Here is a 19519-nt window from a genome sequence, read left to right as displayed (position 1 = left end):
CGCTAATTTTGACTATCTCACAAGGGGGAAAAGAACACGGGTTGCTCTATTATATGTATGTGATTATTCTATTTTAGTCTCCTTGGTGTTTTTAGACACTTTATCTACTTTCCTCTTGCATCTAGAAAATATTGAAATGGAAATATTGAAAAATATGAGATGGAAGAAAATATTTTCTCTCATTTTATTATGTTGGTGGAGAATTGGAATGGGGTAGAAAGTTTTCCATATTCATTTTTTTAATTTTGTGCGTACATAGTAGGTGTATATGTTTATAGGCTACATGAGATATTTTGGTACAGGCATGCAGTGTATAATAATCACATGGAAAATTGGGTATCTCCTCAAGTGTTTCTCCTTTGTGTTACAAATAATCCAATTATACTTTTAGTTATTTTTAAATGTACAATTAAATTATTAATATTATTGACTATAGTCCCCCTGTTGTTCTATAAATACTAGGTCTTATTCTTTTTTACTTTTTTTGTGTGTGTCCATTAACCATCCCCACCTTCCTCCCACCCCCACTACCTTTCCCAACCTCTTGTAACCATGCTTCTATGTGCTGTCTTCATGAATTCAGTTGTTTTGATTTTTAGATCCCACAGATAAGTGAGAACATACAATGTCTGTCTTTCTGTGCCTGGCTTATTTCACTTAACATAATGACCTCCAGTTCCACCCATGTTCTTGTAGATGACAGGATCTCATTCTTTTTTATGGCTGAATAGTACTCCATTGTCTATAAGTTCCACATTTTCTTTATCCATTCATCTGCTGATGGATGCTTAGGTTGCTTCCGCATCTTGGCTGTGATGAACAGAGCTGCAGGAAACATGGGCGTGTAAATACCTCCTTGTTATACTGATTTCCTTTCCTTTCTATCTGTACCCAGCAGTGGGATTGCTGGATCATATGTTAGCTCTATTTTTAGTTTTTTGAGGAACCTCCAAACTGTTCTCCAAAGTGGTTGTACTAATTTACGTTACTACCAACAGTGTATGAGGGTTCCCTTTTTTCCATGCCCTTGCCGGCATTTGTTACTGCCTGACTTGGATAAAAGCCATTTTAACTGGGGTGAAATGATATTTCATTGTAGTTTTGATTTGCATTTCTCTGATGATCAGTGATGTTGAGCACTTTTTCATATATCTGTTTGCCATTTGTATATCTTCTTCTGAGAAATGTCCATTCAAATATTTTGCCCATTTTTAAATTGGATTACTAGATTTTTTTCCTATAGAGTTGTTTGAGCCCCTTATGCATTCTGGTTATGAATCCCTTGTCAGATGAGGAGTTTGCAAATATTTTCTCCCATTCTGTGGGTTGTCTTCACTTCATTGATTCTTTTCTTTGCTGTGCAAAAAGCCTTCTTACTTTATGTGACCCCATTTGTCCATTTTTGCTTTGGTTGCCGGTGCTTGTGGGGTATCACTCAAGAAATCTACAGTCCAGTGTCCTGGAGACTTTCCCCAGTGTTTTCTTTTAGTAGTTTCATAGATTGAGGTCTTAGATTTCAATCTTTAATCCATTCTGATTTGAATTTTGTATATGGCAAGAGATAAGGGTCTAGTTTCATTCTTCTGCGTATGAATGTCTAGTTTTCCCAGCACTGTTTATTGAAGAGACTGTGTTTCCCCCAGTGTATTTTCTTGGAACCTTTGTCAAAAATGAGTTCATTGTAGGTGTGTGGATTTGATTCTGGGTTCTCTGTCCTGTTCCATTTGTCTATGTGTCTGTTGTTATGCCAGTACCATGCTGTTTTGGTTACTGTAGCTCTGTAGTATTAATATAATTTGAAGTCAGTTAGTGTGATGCCTCCAGTTTGTTCTTTTGCTCAGGATAGCTTTGATTATTCTGGGTCTTTTGTGGTTCCATATAAATTTTAGGATTGTTTTTCTGTTTCTGTGAAGAATGACATTGGTATTTTGGTAGGGATTGTGTTGAATCTGCAGATTGCTTTGAGTAATATGGGCATTTTAACAACATTGATTCTTTCAATCCATGAACAGGGAATATCTTTTATTTTTTTGTGTCCTCTTCATTTCTTTCCTCAGTGTTTTATAGTTTTCATTGTAGAGATCTTTTACTTCTTTGGTTAAGTTAATTTCTAGGTATTTAATTTTATTTGTGGCTATTGTAAGTGATCGCTTTTTTGATTTATTTTTCAGATTGTTCACTGTTGGCATATAGAAATGCCATTGATTTTTGTATGTTGATTTTGTATCCTGGAACTTTACCAAATTTGTTTATCAGTTCTAATAATTTTTTGGTGGAGCCTTTAGTTTTTTCCAGATATAAAATCATATATCATCTGCAAAAGGACCATTTGACTTTTTCCTTTCCAATTTGGATGCTCTTTATTTCCTTCTCTTGTGTGCTTGTTCTAGTTAGGACTTCCAGTACTATGTTGAATAACAGTGGTGACAATGGACTTACTTGTTGTGTTCCAGATTTTAGAGGAAAGGCTTTCAGTTTTCCCCCATTCAGTAGGTTACTAGCTGTGGGTCTGTCATATATGGCTTTATGATGTTGAGGTATGTTCCTTCTATACCCAGTTTTTTGAGGTTTTTTTATCATAAAGGTATGTTGAGCTTTATCAAATGATTTTTCAGCATCAGTAAAATGACCATATGGTTTTTGTCCTTCATTCTGTTGATATGATGTGTCACATTGATTGATTTCCGTGTGTTGAACTGTGCTTGCATCCCTGGGATAAATCCCCCTTGGTTATGATGAATGAGCTTCTCAGTATATTGTTGAATTTAGTTTGCTAGTATTTTGTTGAAGATTTTCTGCATCAATATTCATCAGAGATAATGGCCTGTTTTTGTTTGTTTGTTTGTTTGTTTGTTTTGATGTGCCTTTGTCTGGTTTGGGTATCAGGGTAACACTGACCTTGTAGAATGAGTTTGGAAGTATTCCCTCTTCCTCTATTTTTTTTCAGAACAGTTTGAGTATGATTGGTATTAGTTTTTCTTTAAATGCTTGTTAGAATTCAACAGTGAAGCCATCAGGTCCAGGGCTTTTATTTACTAGAAGACTTTTATTATGGCTTTGATCTCGTTACTTGTTATTAGTCTGTTCTTGTTTTGATTTCTTCTTAATTCACTCTTGGTAGATTGTATATGTCTGGGAATATATCCATTTATTCTGGATTTTCCAATTTATTGGCATATAAGTTGCTCATAGTAGCCACTAATGATCCTTTGAATTTCTGTGGTATCAGTTGTAATATCTCCTTTTTTTATTTCAAATTTTATTTATTTGAGTCTTCTCCCTTTTTTTCTTAGTCTGCTAAAGGTTTGTCAGTTTTGTTTATCTTTTCAAAAAGCCAACTTTTCGTTTAATTGGTATTTTGTATTGTGTTCTATATTTCAAATTCATTTATTTCTGCTCTGATTTTTATTTCTTATACTAATTTTGGGTTTTGTTTGCCCATGCTTTTCTAGTTCTTTAAGATGCATCACTGGGTTATTTGAAGGTTTTTTTCCTTTTTGATATAGGCATTTATAGCTATTAACTTCCCTTTTAACACTGCTTTTGCTGTATCCCGTAGGTTTTAGTATGTTGTGTTTCCATTGTCGTTTGTTTCAATACATTTTTACATTTTCTTCTTAATTTCTTCATTGACCCATTGGTCACTCAGGAGCATGTTGTTTCATTTCCATGTGTTTATATGGTTTCCAAAATTTTTCTTGTTATTGATTTGTAGGTTTATTCAGTTGTGGTCAGAAGAAGGTGCTTGATATTATTTCAGTTTTTTTGCATGTTTTAAGACTTGTTTTGTGACCTAACCTTTTTTTTTATGTAACCACATACTTCAGGTAAACTTCTTCAATTAGATTGCCCTTGTCTGAAAAAAATAACTCATATGTTTATATATGCTTAATGATATTCCAACTGTCTCTCTTTCTTCGGTCTGTATACTCATCTATCTGTCTGTCTGAGAAAGTTTAGAAAATAGTCACTGGATCAAGTTGACACAGTGATTTGCTGATGGATCTTGGTGAAGGAGAGTCCTTACATTTATTGAGCCAAGCTGTACTGATCCCTTATTTTGTCATTGTCTGTGAAAACCTTAAAATGTTATTCCAATTTAATGTAATTTAAACTTTGCAAATAGCGACCTTTTATCTATAATTTTTTGTATACTTTCAGTCATTAAAATAGATTTTTCATTTAAAAAAAGTATATGTGTGTACAATACACTTGTGAACTCTCATGGCTATAGCTTGCCTCCCCTCAAGCCAGATAAATATTCCATGTCTCAGATGACAAGTTTAGGAAATATTCCTATGTAAGTATGACTAAGTGTCAAAGTGATTTTCTTTTGTTACATTTTGCCCCAGAAAATTATACTAGTAATTTATTCATAAGCAATATAATTGCTTGGGAGTGTAACTAACCACAGTACCAATTTAATTGATGATATCTTTCAGTCAATATCTGTAAACTCCTGGGGTTTGTTTTGGTGGGTTTTTTTTCCTCATTATCTTTAGAGTTTTAAAAAGAAATGATAGCTGTTTTGTTTTCCAGTTCAATTTTAAGAAGTTGCACCCTACTTAACAGAGACACTTTTTTACTTCTTTTAGGCCTATTATATCTTTATAGACCTATCTATAAAACTTAATGATCTGGTTTTTTAGTGTTTGCTTATTTCCATTATTTTGATATAGTGTCCTTTCATGTTGAACTTTTTTATTGTGTGTATTTTGAAGTCATAGATGTAGAATGTCACCTAGCCACTGTCTTCAGGGCAACCCACCTGGCAAAATAAAATAATCTTCATTTTTCTTATTAACCCTCTGTTATGTGTACAGAGAATATTAAAATTCAGTGGTTTTATATATTGATAATGGAAACATCATTAGGTTTTCAGCATTGACATTTGTATGAGTCTTTGTTTCTTTCAAGTTTTATGTGGTTTTGTTTTTAAGGCTAAGCGGTATTTTTGGAAATCTACTTAATGTGAGTGACTCCCCCAAACTGTCAAATATGTAGTTGAAATATTTTTCTGGCCTTTCTGCCCGTGGACGCCGCCGAAGAAGCATCGTTAAAGTCTCTCTTCACCCTGCCGTCATGTCTAAGTCAGAGTCTCCTAAAGAGCCCGAACAGCTGAGGAAGCTCTTCATTGGAGGGTTGAGCTTTGAAACAACTGATGAGAGCCTGAGGAGCCATTTTGAGCAATGGGGAACGCTCACGGACTGTGTGGTAATGAGAGATCCAAACACCAAGCGCTCCAGGGGCTTTGGGTTTGTCACATATGCCACTGTGGAGGAGGTGGATGCAGCTATGAATGCAAGGCCACACAAGGTGGATGGAAGAGTTGTGGAACCAAAGAGAGCTGTCTCCAGAGAAGATTCTCAAAGACCAGGTGCCCACTTAACTGTGAAAAAGATATTTGTTGGTGGCATTAAAGAAGACACTGAAGAACATCACCTAAGAGATTATTTTGAACAGTATGGAAAAATTGAAGTGATTGAAATCATGACTGACCGAGGCAGTGGCAAGAAAAGGGGCTTTGCCTTTGTAACCTTTGACGACCATGACTCCGTGGATAAGATTGTCATTCAGAAATACCATACTGTGAATGGCCACAACTGTGAAGTTAGAAAAGCCCTGTCAAAGCAAGAGATGGCTAGTGCTTCATCCAGCCAAAGAGGTCGAAGTGGTTCTGGAAACTTTGGTGGTGGTCGTGGAGGTGGTTTCGGTGGGAATGACAACTTCGGTCATGGAGGAAACTTCAGTGGTCGTGGTGGCTTTGGTGGCAGCCGTGCTGGTGGTAGATATGGTGGCAGTGGGGATGGCTCTAATGGATTTGGTAATGATGGAAGCAATTTTGGAGGTGGTGGAAGCTACAATGATTTTGGCAATTACAACAATCAGTCTTCAAATTTTGGACCCATGAAGGGAGGAAATTTTGGAGGCAGAAACTCTGGCCCCTATGGCGGTGGAGGCCAGTACTTTGCAAAACCACGAAACCAAGGTGGCTATGGCGGTTCCAGCAGCAGCAGTAGCTGTGTCAGTGGCAGAAGATTTTAATTAGGAAACAAAGCTTAGCAGGAGAGGAGAGCCAGAGAAGTGACAGGGAAGCCACAGGTTACAACAGATTTGTGAACTCAGCCAAGCACAGTGGTGGCAGGGCCTAGCTGCTACAAAGAAGACATGTTTTAGACAAATACTCATGTGTATGGGCAAAAAACTCGAGGACTGTGTTTGTGACTAATTGTATAACAGGTTATTTTAGTTTCTGTTCTGTGGAAAGTGTAAAGCATTCCAACAAAGCGTTTTAATGTAGATTTTTTTTTTTTGCACCCATGCTGTTGATTGCTAAATGTAATAGTCTGATCGTGACGCTGAATAAATGTCTTTTTTTTTTTAATGTGCTGTGTAAAGTTAGTCTACTCTGAAGCCATCTTGGTAAATTTCCCCAACAGTGTGAAGTTAGAATTCCTTCAGGGTGATGCCAGGTTCTATTTGGAATTTATATACAACCTGCTTGGGTGGAGAAGCCATTGTCTTCGGAAACCTTGGTGTAGTTGAACTGATAGTTACTGTTGTGACCTGAAGTTCACCATTAAAAGGGATTACCCAAACAAAGTCATGGAATGGTTATAAAAGTGATTGTTGGCACATCCTATGCAATATATCTAAATTGAATAATGGTACCAGATAAAATTATAGATGGGAATGAAGCTTGTGTATCATCCATTATCATGTGTAATCAATAAACAATTTAATTCTCTTGAATGAAAAAAAAAAGAAATATTTTTCTGAAGAATATATATTTGATATAACTTCTGGTACAATGAAGTATATTTTATAATTTGATTCTTTTGTATTTTATGTTTGTTTTATTTATCACATAATAAAGTTCAAAGGAAGCTATGTCAGATTTGAAACTGACACTGAAAATCCCTAACGTTTGACTTGTGGCTCAGTTTATCCTCTTGAAATAAAATTGTTGGGTTTTATGTGACATTAACACCCTGATGAAAATCACTCCTTAATTTTGTTAGTTGAATTGAAACATAAAAGTTCAAGTCATTGCACCTTAGTGCATTTTCTTATTAGACACAGAAGCTGAATTATTTACCTGAGCCAGCCTAATAAGGTAAAGGGAACTGATTGAAGAAGAAAATAAAACCGAAGTCACCAGGCACGGTGGCTCATGCCTGTAATCCCAGCACTTTGGGAGGCTGAGGTGGGCAGATCACTTGAGGTCAGGAGTTCGAGACCAGCCTGGCCAATGTTGTGAAACCCCATTTTGACTAAAAATACAAAAATTAGCTGGGCGTGGTGGCACTCACCTGTAATCCCATCTACTTGGGAAGCTGAAGCACGAGAATCGCTTGAACCCGGGAGACGGAGGTTGCAGTGAGCCGAGATTGCTCCACTGCACTCCAGCCTAGGTGATGGAGTGAGACTTTGTCTCAAAACAAAACAGAACAAAAAACCGAAGTCGTATTTGTTGAGAGACTTCTATCTATACAGTACTATATTGAGTCCTTTATATTTGTTCTCATAAAAGCATCTCAACTTCCTTATGTAATTATTAATACTATTATTTTAAATGTGAGAACACTGAGGCTCAAGAAGTTATTTGCCCATAATCATATAGTTAATTAATAATAGAACCATGCTTTGGGAGGCCAAGATGGGAGGATCTCTTGAGACCAGGAGTTTAAAACCAGCCTGGGCAACATAGGGAGAGATCCTGTCTCTACAAAAAATAAAAAACATTATCCAGTGTGGCGGTGCATACCTGTAGTACCAGCAATTTGGAAGGCTAAGGCAGGAGAATCATTGAGCCCAGGAGTTCATGGCTGCATTGAGCTATGATCATGCCAATGCACTCCAGGCTGGGCAACAGAGTGAGACTGTCTCTAAAAATATATAAATAAATATAAGTAAACCACAATTTCAACTAAATCTGGCTGTAAATCCAATCCCAGGCTATTTCTGAGAGAAGGCACACTGTGTCTCACCTACCAGGTGGAATAATAAATACATTTAAGTTACTGGAAGCAGAGAGTTGGGGATGGAGAGGTTGGGATCTTAGAAACATGCCTGGTCATTTGGCATCTGATGTCTAGTAGAGCTTGAGATGACACCTGTCTGCTTATGTGATTCTTTTACTTTCTCTGTCTTTTGTGTGCCTTTTATGGTGTGAGCATCTCTTCACACAGTGTTATAAAATACACACATTGCACAAACCAAATGCATCATCTTACGACCTGTCCAACAGTGGAGGATAAACTGGATGTATCAGACTTATTGAGAGGAATGTCTCTATATTGTAGTTTAATGGATTTTCAAAGAATTTTTTATGTAAATCTGAGTCCCCTCTCTCACCTGCCTGCCTGAAATATTCCATGGTATATGTCAGGCCTTTTGTTGGAGATTTAGTATATTATTAATGTTTGCAGAAATACTGGTACTACAGTTGCTTATCTGTTTTTCTGAAAGTTGCTTGGCGTAGAAATCTTATCTTTTAAATATTAGTTACCGTGCAGTATTTCAGGGTGTAAAATTTCAGATTTGAATTAAGTAGGCATACTTCTGTTTCATACAGCAGGAGTCTATTATATGTAATTCCTGGTCATTCTACTGTTCAGAAAGGAGTCTTTTGTCCAAGGGTTCATTTGAAAAGAGGTAATAATATATCCCTAATCTTTTTTCTCTTTTGTTTCATGCATTCCTTTTTGCTTAGATTTCACCATGAAGTTCTTTGACTTCATTACCACATATTGCTTTGTCTAGATTAATCTCGATTTTCTTCTTTTCTTGCTGGGATTTCACAGTAAACTATAAAATGTAGAAACAAAATTATTTCACTTGCTTGGAGTTCAAGGTTATAGTCTCTGGGCCTTTGAATAAAGTACTCACCCAAAAATAGGATTTTAATATAGCTTTGTTGATGTTTAAGGTAGGAAGAGATCAATAGAAAATACTTGAAAAGAAGTTCTTTTTCTTATATACTCTGCTTTCTTTGAGGGGCTTAAATGTTTAAAATCTGAGTGCTTAATTTATATTTAGACTTACTTGAACATACACCAATTTATACCTAAGATAGTTCATGCAGAAAGCAGTTTTTACCCACCTGCTCTGTTGCCTAGTGGTCTTGTGGACTGCAAACAGCAGAAAAAGAGATGATATTGAGCCAAAAGAGCTGATGGGTTAACTGGGGAGATGAGGGTTTCTGCTTGTTTCGTGGTGTACGCTCCAAAGAAAGATAGGCACTATGGAGACTTAAGTGCATCTTTAGCACTTATTCTCTCATTACTTTTCTAAACATTTTACACTGCTAGTCAATATAGGAATTAGAAGTCACTTTTAGATTAGTTAGCATTATATGACAGCAGATACATAGCTTAACTTAATCAGAATGTTTTCCAGGAACAAAAATATTTTGAGGGATACAAAGGAAAAAACCTTTCTGATTTGATTGGCATATAGATTCTACTCCCAAAAGTTAAGTTGCTTTCCTTTAAATTTTTGGACATTTTCAGAAAACAGGGAGCTCCTAATCATGGGTTGCACTAGAATTTCTGTGCTGCATGTTTAAGGCCTGAGGTACAAGAGGAGGGATTGAGAGTTGGTTACTGGGTATTTAGTCTTAACAATGGTCAAATGGATACAGAAGCCACAGTCTGTGCAGTGGCTTTCCCTTTCTGTTGTACTCACTATTTGATATCAGTCAGGTATTAATGCTGACATTAGGTTCTCCTGCTGATGGTAAATTCTAGGACAGATGTTTCATCTGTATTCCTCACAATTTTTTTGCCATTAATATAAAGGCACTCATTGTTTTTCTCTGCATTAGGGATACTTGATATCACCCCATTTAGACTTATGCTCCTGACTTAGTTTTATCAATAACTTAGAATCAAAGCATATAATATATACGAATTTAACCATTCAAATTGTGAGTTAACAAATACCTCTTTTTTGTAAATAGACACAAGTAAGGAGTTTTTTTATTAAAGGTGTGACAATATTTTTAGTGATTTTAGGGTAATCTTGGCTTTCGGAAGTAATCTAGAGTTAGCAAAAGTAATACAGCCTCTACAATCAGAAATTAGTTAGGAAGCTTGAAAGAATATATTAGAAGCATAATATTGATAAATACTGTAAACCCAATGGAATTATTTTGAAGTTGGAAAAAATTACATACCAAACCTTTTTCAAAATTTACAATCTAGAGCCAGGCTACCAGGCTTAGACAGTACTTCCTTAGATTGACACCTTTAGTAGAGTTAGTTTTTTTTTAAAAAAAAAAGACAAAACTCTAGTTTTGTGTGTTGAAAGTAGTTCATATATTTTGATTGAGTCATGCAGGCATTGCAATATTTAAATTTTATTTAAATGCTCCTGTGCGTCAATTTCAGCTTGGACTCAAGTCACAGAGACCCAAAGTGAAGTCTAGCTAGGAGATCTGAGGTTATGTTGCCCAGGATGGCAGGGACCCAGGTTTTTTCTCAGTTGTTGCTATTTCTTGGCCTCAATTCCAGTCCTAACTTCCCTTCAGGGTCTCAGATGGTTGCTGCCACTCTAGTAATGTCATCTACATTCCCTCAATCAGAAAGAATAAAGAGGGAAGAGAAGGGCACATACTCTTTAAAGCTAGATCTTGGTTGCCACTTATGTTCAGCATTGTACTGGAGATTCTAGCTAGGGCTATTAGGCAAGTAGAAGAAAAAACATGGCATCCAGTTTGGAAAAGGAGAAGTAAGACTATGTCTTTTCAGAGATGACATGAATTTGTATACAGAAAATCCTAAGGAATCTATTTGTTTTTGTTTTTTGTTTGTTTGTTTTTGAGACAGAGTTTCACTCTTGTTGCCCAGGCTGGAGTGCAATGGTGCGATCTTGGCTCACTGCAACCTCCACTCAGAACCACTGTCACCATCTTCCTTAAGGCTGCAGATCCTTTTCATACACAGGGACCATTGGCCCTGAGACAGGCAACTATGTTCTCATTTTTACATGTGATTAGAACAGGACAGCAACTAAGCTCAAGTGACACTGTTGTTCTCTATTGTGGTTGTTTTTCCAGAGCCCTTTCTCTGTACCACAACATGTGTCTTAGGATCCACAAAATGACAGCACCCAGTAATGGGCGGATTGTTGAAGTGAATGAGAGTAGAAACGTAGGCACTTGCATAGTGTTGGAGGATCATTTGGGATAGCTGAATGTTAGAGGTGACTTTTAGCATAGTAATAAAATTATTCATTGTGCCTGCTCAGATTTAGGACACTGATTTTCTTTTACATTCCTGTTATCTGTGCCAGAAACTGTCTTTTCTGCAAATCCATACTATGCTTTGCAGGAAGCTTTTATCATCAGGTGACTTCAGATAGTTTTATTTGATTGATACCAGTGTCTGTTCCTTCCTCTTCAGTCTTATACTTTCTTATAATACCTCAACCATTGGGCTAAAAGCAGTTTCTTCTCCTATTCCTAGAGCTTTCTTTTCCCACTGAAGAAATTTTGGTTTCTTCAGTTTCCATTGACTTCAATTATTACCTGTACTTCAGTGATTTCCTGTAACCACATCCTTCCTGATCACTTTATCATTTCTCCCTCTTAAAAGTTAGTTGCCAATTAGTTATTTCTTTCAGAGTTCTTCTCACTTTTTTGACTTTCTGTTTGGAACACTTTGCTTCCTTTTCGCAGACAACATTTTCATTTTTTGATTTCATGATTGTTCTTTCATTGTTTTGTAGCAGTTTTCTATGATTTCACCTCTTTCCCCCCACCACACACCGTTTCTTTACTCATCATGTCATTTGATTATAGTCCATCGGGACAGAGAAATACTACCAGAATGTCATGTTGTATTCTCACAATAAACAGTTCTTGTTTGTTTACAAGACAGTAAAACAACTAGGACATCATTTATTTTAAATGTTTGAGGATGCTAGGCTGGGCGCGGTGGCTCACGCTGTAATCCAAGCACTTTGGGAGGTTGAGGTGGGTGGATTGCTTGAGTCCAGGAGTTTGAGACCAGCCTGGGCAACATGGTGAAACCCCGTCTCTACAAAAAAGAAAAATAAAAAATAATGTTTGAAGATGCTAATTAAATAGTGTTTAATTATATCCCTCAGTTTATAGAATCAAATGTAACTAAAAGAATAAGGAATGGAGTTTTTTAGCCTAAGCTACCTTTGCAAGGTGAAGGGTAAGTTTGTGTGTATGAAGAATAGTTAGAAGGAACAGCCTGTGTAATAAAACTTTTGTGATTATTAGAAGACCGCTGGTGTTGAGGGTTATGTATACAGATGTTTTAGTTTGGGTAGGCTAACTACTGTAACAAAAAAAGAAAACTACAACACATCACAGGCATAGTATCACAGTAGAATGGTATTTCTTACATAACAACTCAGTGTGTGGTCCAGGCATAGGTAGGTGATTTGTTCGAATATGTTTGAATTGAGGAACCCAGCCTGCTGGCAGCTGTGCTATCTTCACTTTGTTCCAAGGTATTCCTGAGAGTCAATATTTAGCCATTGGTCGAGAAAAGAGCACAGAGGATAGCTTGTGAGCAGCTTTCATGGGTAAGGCCAGGACAGGAAGTAGGAAATGTCATTTCTGTTCATACATCATTGGCTAGAACTCAATGACATGGCACACTTAACTGCAAGGACAGTTAGGGATTGTGGTCTACTGTGCACCTGGAAGGAAGAGGACACTTATTTGATAGTCAGTCCCTTCCAGTGAAGGTATTTTGAAAAAAGTTTAAATTGTAAGAGAAGGCCGGGCTCGGTGGCCCAAGCCTGTAATCCCAGCACATTGGGAGGCCAAGGTGTGTGGATCAGTTGAGGTCAGGAGTTTGAGACCAGCCTGGCCAACGTGAAAAAACCCTGTCTCTACTAAAAATACAAAAATTAGCCAGCATGGTGGTGCACGCCTGTAATCCCAGCTACTCTGGAGGCTGAGGCAGGCGAATCACTTGAACCCGGGAGGCGGAGGTTGCAATGAGCCAAGATCGCACCACTGCACTTGAGCCTGGGTGATAGAGCGAGATTCTGTCTCAAAAAGACAAAAAAAAGAAAAAAAAAATTGTAAGAGAAGTACAGTGGTTTGGGTATTTAACTGACTCAGTAAGTTTCCTTTCTACATGAAAAGGACAAGTAAACATAATTAAAATTATGCCACACTATTTATTAAAAGAGGAAGAATAAGTACAGTATTATCACTTGAACAGCTTTCCTTTTGATATTGGTAAAATAATGCACACCTCTTAAATTTATATTAAGTGCCAACACAGAAATCTTAGAACTTATTAAATTATTCATTGTTTAATAGATTTAGCTATGACATAAGAACAGTTTATGTCCGTGACAGATAAAAACAATATCAAGTTCAGCCAATCTGATTCTTATTATATATGTACTAAGAAATCAAATTATTTCAGTGGGGCCATGTTAGTCAGTCAATAACTATTTAAATGTCCACTATAGACAAGGCTTTACCACAGTGCTGAGAAAAAACCAGGCTAATGAGGAATAAAAACATTCTTTAAAAAGAAAAATAAATCTGTCATATAAGATTATATATTTGCAAAGTTAGGTATTTCGGAGTTGAAAGGATTAAACATGCATGCCTTCTGCAGGGATACAGCTTCAGATGGTTGACCAAGCTAGTTACTCTAATGTGAAATACAATACTCTGAGTATAAAGAAACACAAATGTGAAAAGAAAACACCTTAATATACTAGCACACAACTTATAGAATTAACTAAAATCACATATATACTTGCCTTTTCTTTGTTCTGTCAACCAGGGTTTTTTTTTTTGTGCAACATAAGAATGGAAAGAAACAAACCCAAAAACCCAACATGAGCGTGTGTCTGTTTTGTTCTCTGGATTCATCCCAACCTTAAGAGAAAACTCATCAGTAGTTAAGCTAACAAGTTGATTATCAACATATTATATTTAGTCATCCAAATGTATTTCATCTTCATGTTTAAAAATAAAAAAGCATTTAATAGAGATTTGGGTTTTGCTGTGACAGATGTTACATAACTACTTACATTGATTCACAACCATCCTAAGTAATTCACAAGGGTGCTTTAATTCATAAAGGCACTATAGTTATGCAATGATTCAGATACATTCAACTGTAATGAAGGTAATGACAATTTGGACAAAGCTGAAATACTTACAATCAGCATAAAAAAAATAAGATTCAATGTCCAGGGAGAAATATTCTAAATAAAGACTAACAGCATGTTATGGTCCTGCATACCTTTGTTCCTTATCCCCTACAACCATGTTTCTCAAAGTTGGTGAATGTATAGACCAGTTTTAAAATGGAAAAAAATGCTTGTAATTTCTACAGGTTAAGTTATTTTTACTGTGTTGGCCTTTAAATATTAATACATAAACATTAAAAAGTTGATCTAAGATTCACGTACTCATAGCTCTAAAACAAACCTATAAATTCAGCATAGACTGTAAGCAAAGCCATAAAATCACTGCAGTTTAAATGAGTAGGATTAGGACCAGGGCTGGGCACAGTGGCTCATACCTGTAATCCCAGCACTTTGGGAGGCTGAGGGAGGAGGATCACTTGAGCCTGGGAGGTTGATGCTACAGTGAGTTGTGATTGGACCACTGCACTCCAGACTGGGTGACAGAGCAAGAACCTATCTCAAAACAAAAGCAAAGAAAGATTAGGATCAAGAAGACATTCACAAAGGTAGCACTTGAGTTAGGGTGAGGAACTGGGTAAATAAGGGTTGAGAGATAAAGGCCAAGGCAAGGAAACTGAAGTGAGCAGAGGGCTCGTGTAAGTGAGAGTACAGCATATGTGTAAACAGAGAACAGTCCCTTTGGGTTTTGTGTAGGTTGGGAGCGGGAGGGGGTAACATAAGGTGGTAAACTATTAGAAGTAAATCATGGGGACCTTGAGTATTGGACTCAGGGCCCCATTCTGTATGAATGGAATTGTTGAAGGCATGTAAGTAGTACTACATTTTCATTTTTTAAAATGTTATCTGCAGCAATATTTAAATACATTAGGAGAATGAAAAGATTGAGGCCAGGCACAGTGGCTCACTCCTGTAATCCCAGCGCTTTGGGAGGCCGAAGCAGGCAGATCACTTGAGGCCATGAGTTTGAGACCAGCCTGGCCAACATGGCAAAACCTAAAAATACAAAAATTAGCTGGGTGTAGTGGTGCACGCCTGTAATCCCAGCTACTCAGGAGGCTGAGGCACGAGAATCACTTGAACCTGGGAGGCAGAGGTTGCAGTGAGCTGAGATCACACCACTGTACTTCAACCTGGGCAACAGAGCAAGACTCTGTCTCAATAAAAGAAAAAGAAGGAAAGAAAAGATTGAAAATCCAACCAAAAGGTCCACTCCACGAGCACAGATACATGGTTCATTACCAAGTTTCCAGGTCCTAGAACATAATTGACCCTCAGTAAGTGTGTGTTGATTGAATATATGATGCCTAATGAAGGGCAGGGGGATATCTAGTTAGAAAATGTGTGGGAAATAAAGTCCAGAATAGGACTCCGAATAAAAGTTAGCAGCTGGTATTAACAAGGATTTTGAGTTGTCTACAACTAATTGAATCCTTGAGAAATATATAAGATTGTAGAGGAGACAGGGGGAACAGGCTAAGGGTGGAGCCTCGATAGCTCCTACAGTTATGGCAAATGTCAAGGAGAAAGCACTGAGAGAAAATAGCAAGGAGGGATCAGAAAAGTGGCTCAGGAGATCTGTTGGCACAGAAGCCAAAAGAGCAGAAAAGAGAATTACCCATTTGTGCATGTCCACTTTATAAATATTTATTTTGGATTTTGAAATTGAATCCTTTTTTTTAAGCAGACTAACTTTGAAGGTTTCATGGATTCTAGTTATCCTAGTGTTAAAAATTATTTTTAGAGGTAGGTAGGACTTAATGTTGAAAGGATCAAGGTCAAATGGGGCAAGTAAAATCCAAGCATATCCCAGAAGCATGTTAAATGTGGGGAAATTTCAGGATGGCATTTACATATTTTGGAATTTAACATGCACTTCTTTTAGATGTCTCATTACTACATTGTTGAGTTAAATATATAAATTTTAGTACATTATATGTAGTAGTTAAGCAACAGAATAATTATGTCACAAAATTGTTTACTTTATGAATTCATTTAGTATAATGTCTCTATTAGTGGCCTACCCTAGGATATTTTAAGTGATTATATTAAGTTTTATTTCTAGACAGTTTTTCTGGAACTTTTTTTGCCTAAAGCAGGCACACAGCTCAGTTAAAATAAAAAAAGACATAAGCATTGGTTTCTTACTACTTTATGGCTTTAAAAATCATTCTGAATCCTCTTGCTGGAGTGTTTACTACACCAGCTAGCAGTAGGACTTAACATTAAATTTTCATTTTGATTAACTTGACTGCAGTTGTTTCTTGGCTGCCTCTTTAGAGCCCACTGTGGGATAAAATTAAAACAGTTTTTATGATACAACAATTTAGTTGCGGAAAACAACATTTTTTTCCCCCGAATGGCAGTGTGTTCTACCTCTGGGTTTTCTGCATACGCCCCATGGCTCTGGTTTCTCTCTTCTCCAATCCATCTTTTAGAGTTCCGCCAGATTAATTTTTCTAAAGCAGAGCTTTGGCCATCTTCTCATCCAAAACCCTTCAGTGGTTCCCCTTTGCCTCTCTCTTATCTAAGCCCAACTCATTCTTCAAAGAAAGAGCAGCTCACATGCTGTATTTGCCCTTTCACATTTTTCTTGATCTCCTCTGCTGAAGTCTCGATCTCTGCTCTACATTTCTTTTTTTTTCTTTTTAAGACCATTATCTGGAACATAGTAAGTACTTAAAAAAACTTAGCAGTTATTAAGTTTCTACATCTGTCTTCTTTTTATTTCTTTTTTATATTCAATTAGTCTTTATTATTATTTTTTATTTTTATACTTTAAGTTCTAGGGTACATGTGCACAATGTGCAGGTTTGTTACATATGTATACATGTGCCATGTTGGTGTGCTGCACCCATTAACTCGTCATTTACATTAGGTGTATCTCCTAATGCTATCCCTCCCCTCTCCCCCCAACCCCACGACAGGCCCTGGTGTGTGATGTTCCCCTTGCTGTGTCCAGGTGTTCTCATTGTTCAGTTCCTACCTATGAGTGAGAACATGCAGTGTTTGTTTTTTTGTCCTTCCTATAGTTTGCTGAAAATGATGATTTCCAGCTTCATCCATGTCCCTACAAAGAACATGAACTCATCCTTTTTTTCTGGCTGCATAGTATTCCATGGTGTATATGTGCCACATTTTCTTAATCCTGTCTATCATTGTTGGACATTTGGGTTGGTTCCAAGTCTTTGCTATTGTGAATAGTGCCACAATAAACATATGTGTACATGTGTCTTTACAGCAGCATGATTTATAATCCTTTGGGTATATACCCAGTAATGAGATGGCTGGGTCAAATGGTATTTCTAGTTCTAGATCCTTGAGGAATCGCCACACTGTCTTCCACAATGGTTGAACTAGTTTACAGTCCCATCAACAGTGTAAAAGTGTTCCTATTTCTCCACATCCTCTCCAGCACCTGTTGTTTCCTGACTTTTTAATGATCGCCATTCTAACTGGTGTGAGATGGTATCTTATTGTGGTTTTGATTTGCATGTCTCTGATGGCCAGTGATGATGAGCATTTTTTCATGTGTCTGTTGGCTGCATAAATGTCTTCTTTTGAGAAATGTCTGTTCATATCCTTCACCCACTTGTTGATGGGGTTGTTTGTTTTTTTCTTGTAAATTTGTTTGAGTTCTTTGTAGATTCTGGATATTAGCCCTTTGTCAGATGAGTAGATTGTAAGAATTTTCTCCCATTCTGTAGGTTGCCTATTCACTCTGATGGTAGTTTCTTTTGCTGTGCAGAAGCTCTTTAGTTTAATTAGATCCCATTTGTCAATTTTGGCTTTAGTTGCCATTGCTTTTGGTGTTTTAGACATGAAGCCCTTGCCCATGCCTGTGTCCTGAATGGTATTGCCTAGGTTTTCTTCTAGGGTTTTTATGGTTTTAGGTCTAACATGTAAGTCTTTAATCCATCTTGAATTAATTTTTGTATAAGGTGTAAGGAAGAGATCCAGTTTCAGCTTTCTACATATGGCTAGCCAGTTTTCCCAGCACCATTTATTAAATAGGGAATCCTTTCCCCATTGCTTGTTTTTGTTAGGTTTGTCAAAGAGCAGATGGTTATAGATGTGTGGTATTATTTCTGAGGGCTCTGTTCTGTTCCATTGGTCTATATCTCTGTTTTGGTACCAGTACCATGCTGTTTTGGTTACTGTAGCCTTGTAGTATAGTTTGAAGTCAGGTAGCGTGATGCCTCCAGCTTTGTTCTTTTTGCTTAGGATTGACTTGACAGTGCAGGCTCTTTTTTGGTTCCATATGAACTTTAAAGTAGTTTTTTCCAATTCTGTGAAGAAAGTCATTGGTAGCTTGATGGGGATGGCATTGAATCTATAAATTACCTTGGGCAGTATGGCCATTTTCACGATATTGATTCTTCCTATCCATGAGCATGGAATGTTCTTCCATTTGTTCGTGTCCTGTTTTATTTCGTTGAGCAGTGGTTTGTAGTTCTCCTTGAAGAGGTCCTTCACTTCCCTTCTAAGTTGGATTCCTAGGTATTTTATTCTCTTTGAAGCAATTGTGAATGGGTGTTCACTCATGAGTTGACTCTCTGTTTGTCTGTTACTGTTGTATAAGAATGCTTGTGATTTTTGCACATTGATTTTGTATCCTGAGACTTTGCTGAAGTTGCCTATCAGCTTAAGGAGATTTTGGGCTGAGACGATGGGGTTTTCTAAATATACAATCATGTCATCTGTAAACACGGACAATTTGACTTCCTCTTTTCCTAATTGAATACCCTTTATTTCTTTCTCCTGCCTGATTGCCCTGGCCAGAACTTCCAACACTGTGTTGAATAGGAGTGGTGAGAGAGGGCATCCCTGTCTTGTGCCAGTTTTCAAAGGGAATGCTTCCAGTTTTTTGCCCATTCAGTATGATATTGGCTGTAGGTTTGTCATAAATAGCTCTTATTATTTTGAGACACTTCCCATCAATACCTAATTTATTGAGAGTTTTTAGCATGAAGGGCTGTTGAATTTTGTCCAAGGCCTTTTCTGCATCTGTTGAGATAACCATGTGGTTTTTGTCTTTGGTTCTGTTTATATGCTGGATTACATTTATTGATTTGCGTATGTTGAACCAGCCTTGCATCCCAGGGATGAAGCCCACTTGATCATGGTGGATAAGCCTTCTTTTTGATGTGCTGCTGGATTCAGTTTGTCAGTATTTTACTGAGGATTTTTGCATCAATGTTCATCAGGATATTGGTCTAAAATTCTCTTTTTTTGTTGTGTCTCTGCCAGGCTTTGGTATCAGGATGATGCTGGCCTCATAAAATGAGTTAGGGAGGATTCCCTCTTTTTCTATTGATTGGAATAGTTTCAGAAGGAATGGTACCAGCTCCTCCTT

General features: G+C 37.1%; 1 protein-coding gene and 1 pseudogene across 4 annotated transcripts in view; both read left to right on the top strand.

The window, feature by feature from the left end:
* GAREM1 (GRB2 associated regulator of MAPK1 subtype 1) overlaps positions 1-19519 on the top strand; it is a 207361-nt gene that overhangs the window by 52624 nt on the left and 135218 nt on the right. The gene's annotated exons all lie outside the window — the stretch shown is intronic.
* Positions 5022-6758, top strand: HNRNPA1P7 (heterogeneous nuclear ribonucleoprotein A1 pseudogene 7; annotated as a pseudogene).

This window comes from Homo sapiens, chromosome 18 (genome assembly GCF_000001405.40).
Source record: "Homo sapiens chromosome 18, GRCh38.p14 Primary Assembly".
Classification (NCBI taxonomy): domain Eukaryota; kingdom Metazoa; phylum Chordata; class Mammalia; order Primates; family Hominidae; genus Homo; species Homo sapiens.
Note: the sequence above shows the minus strand (reverse complement) of the source record. Positions and strands in the feature narration are given on the sequence as shown.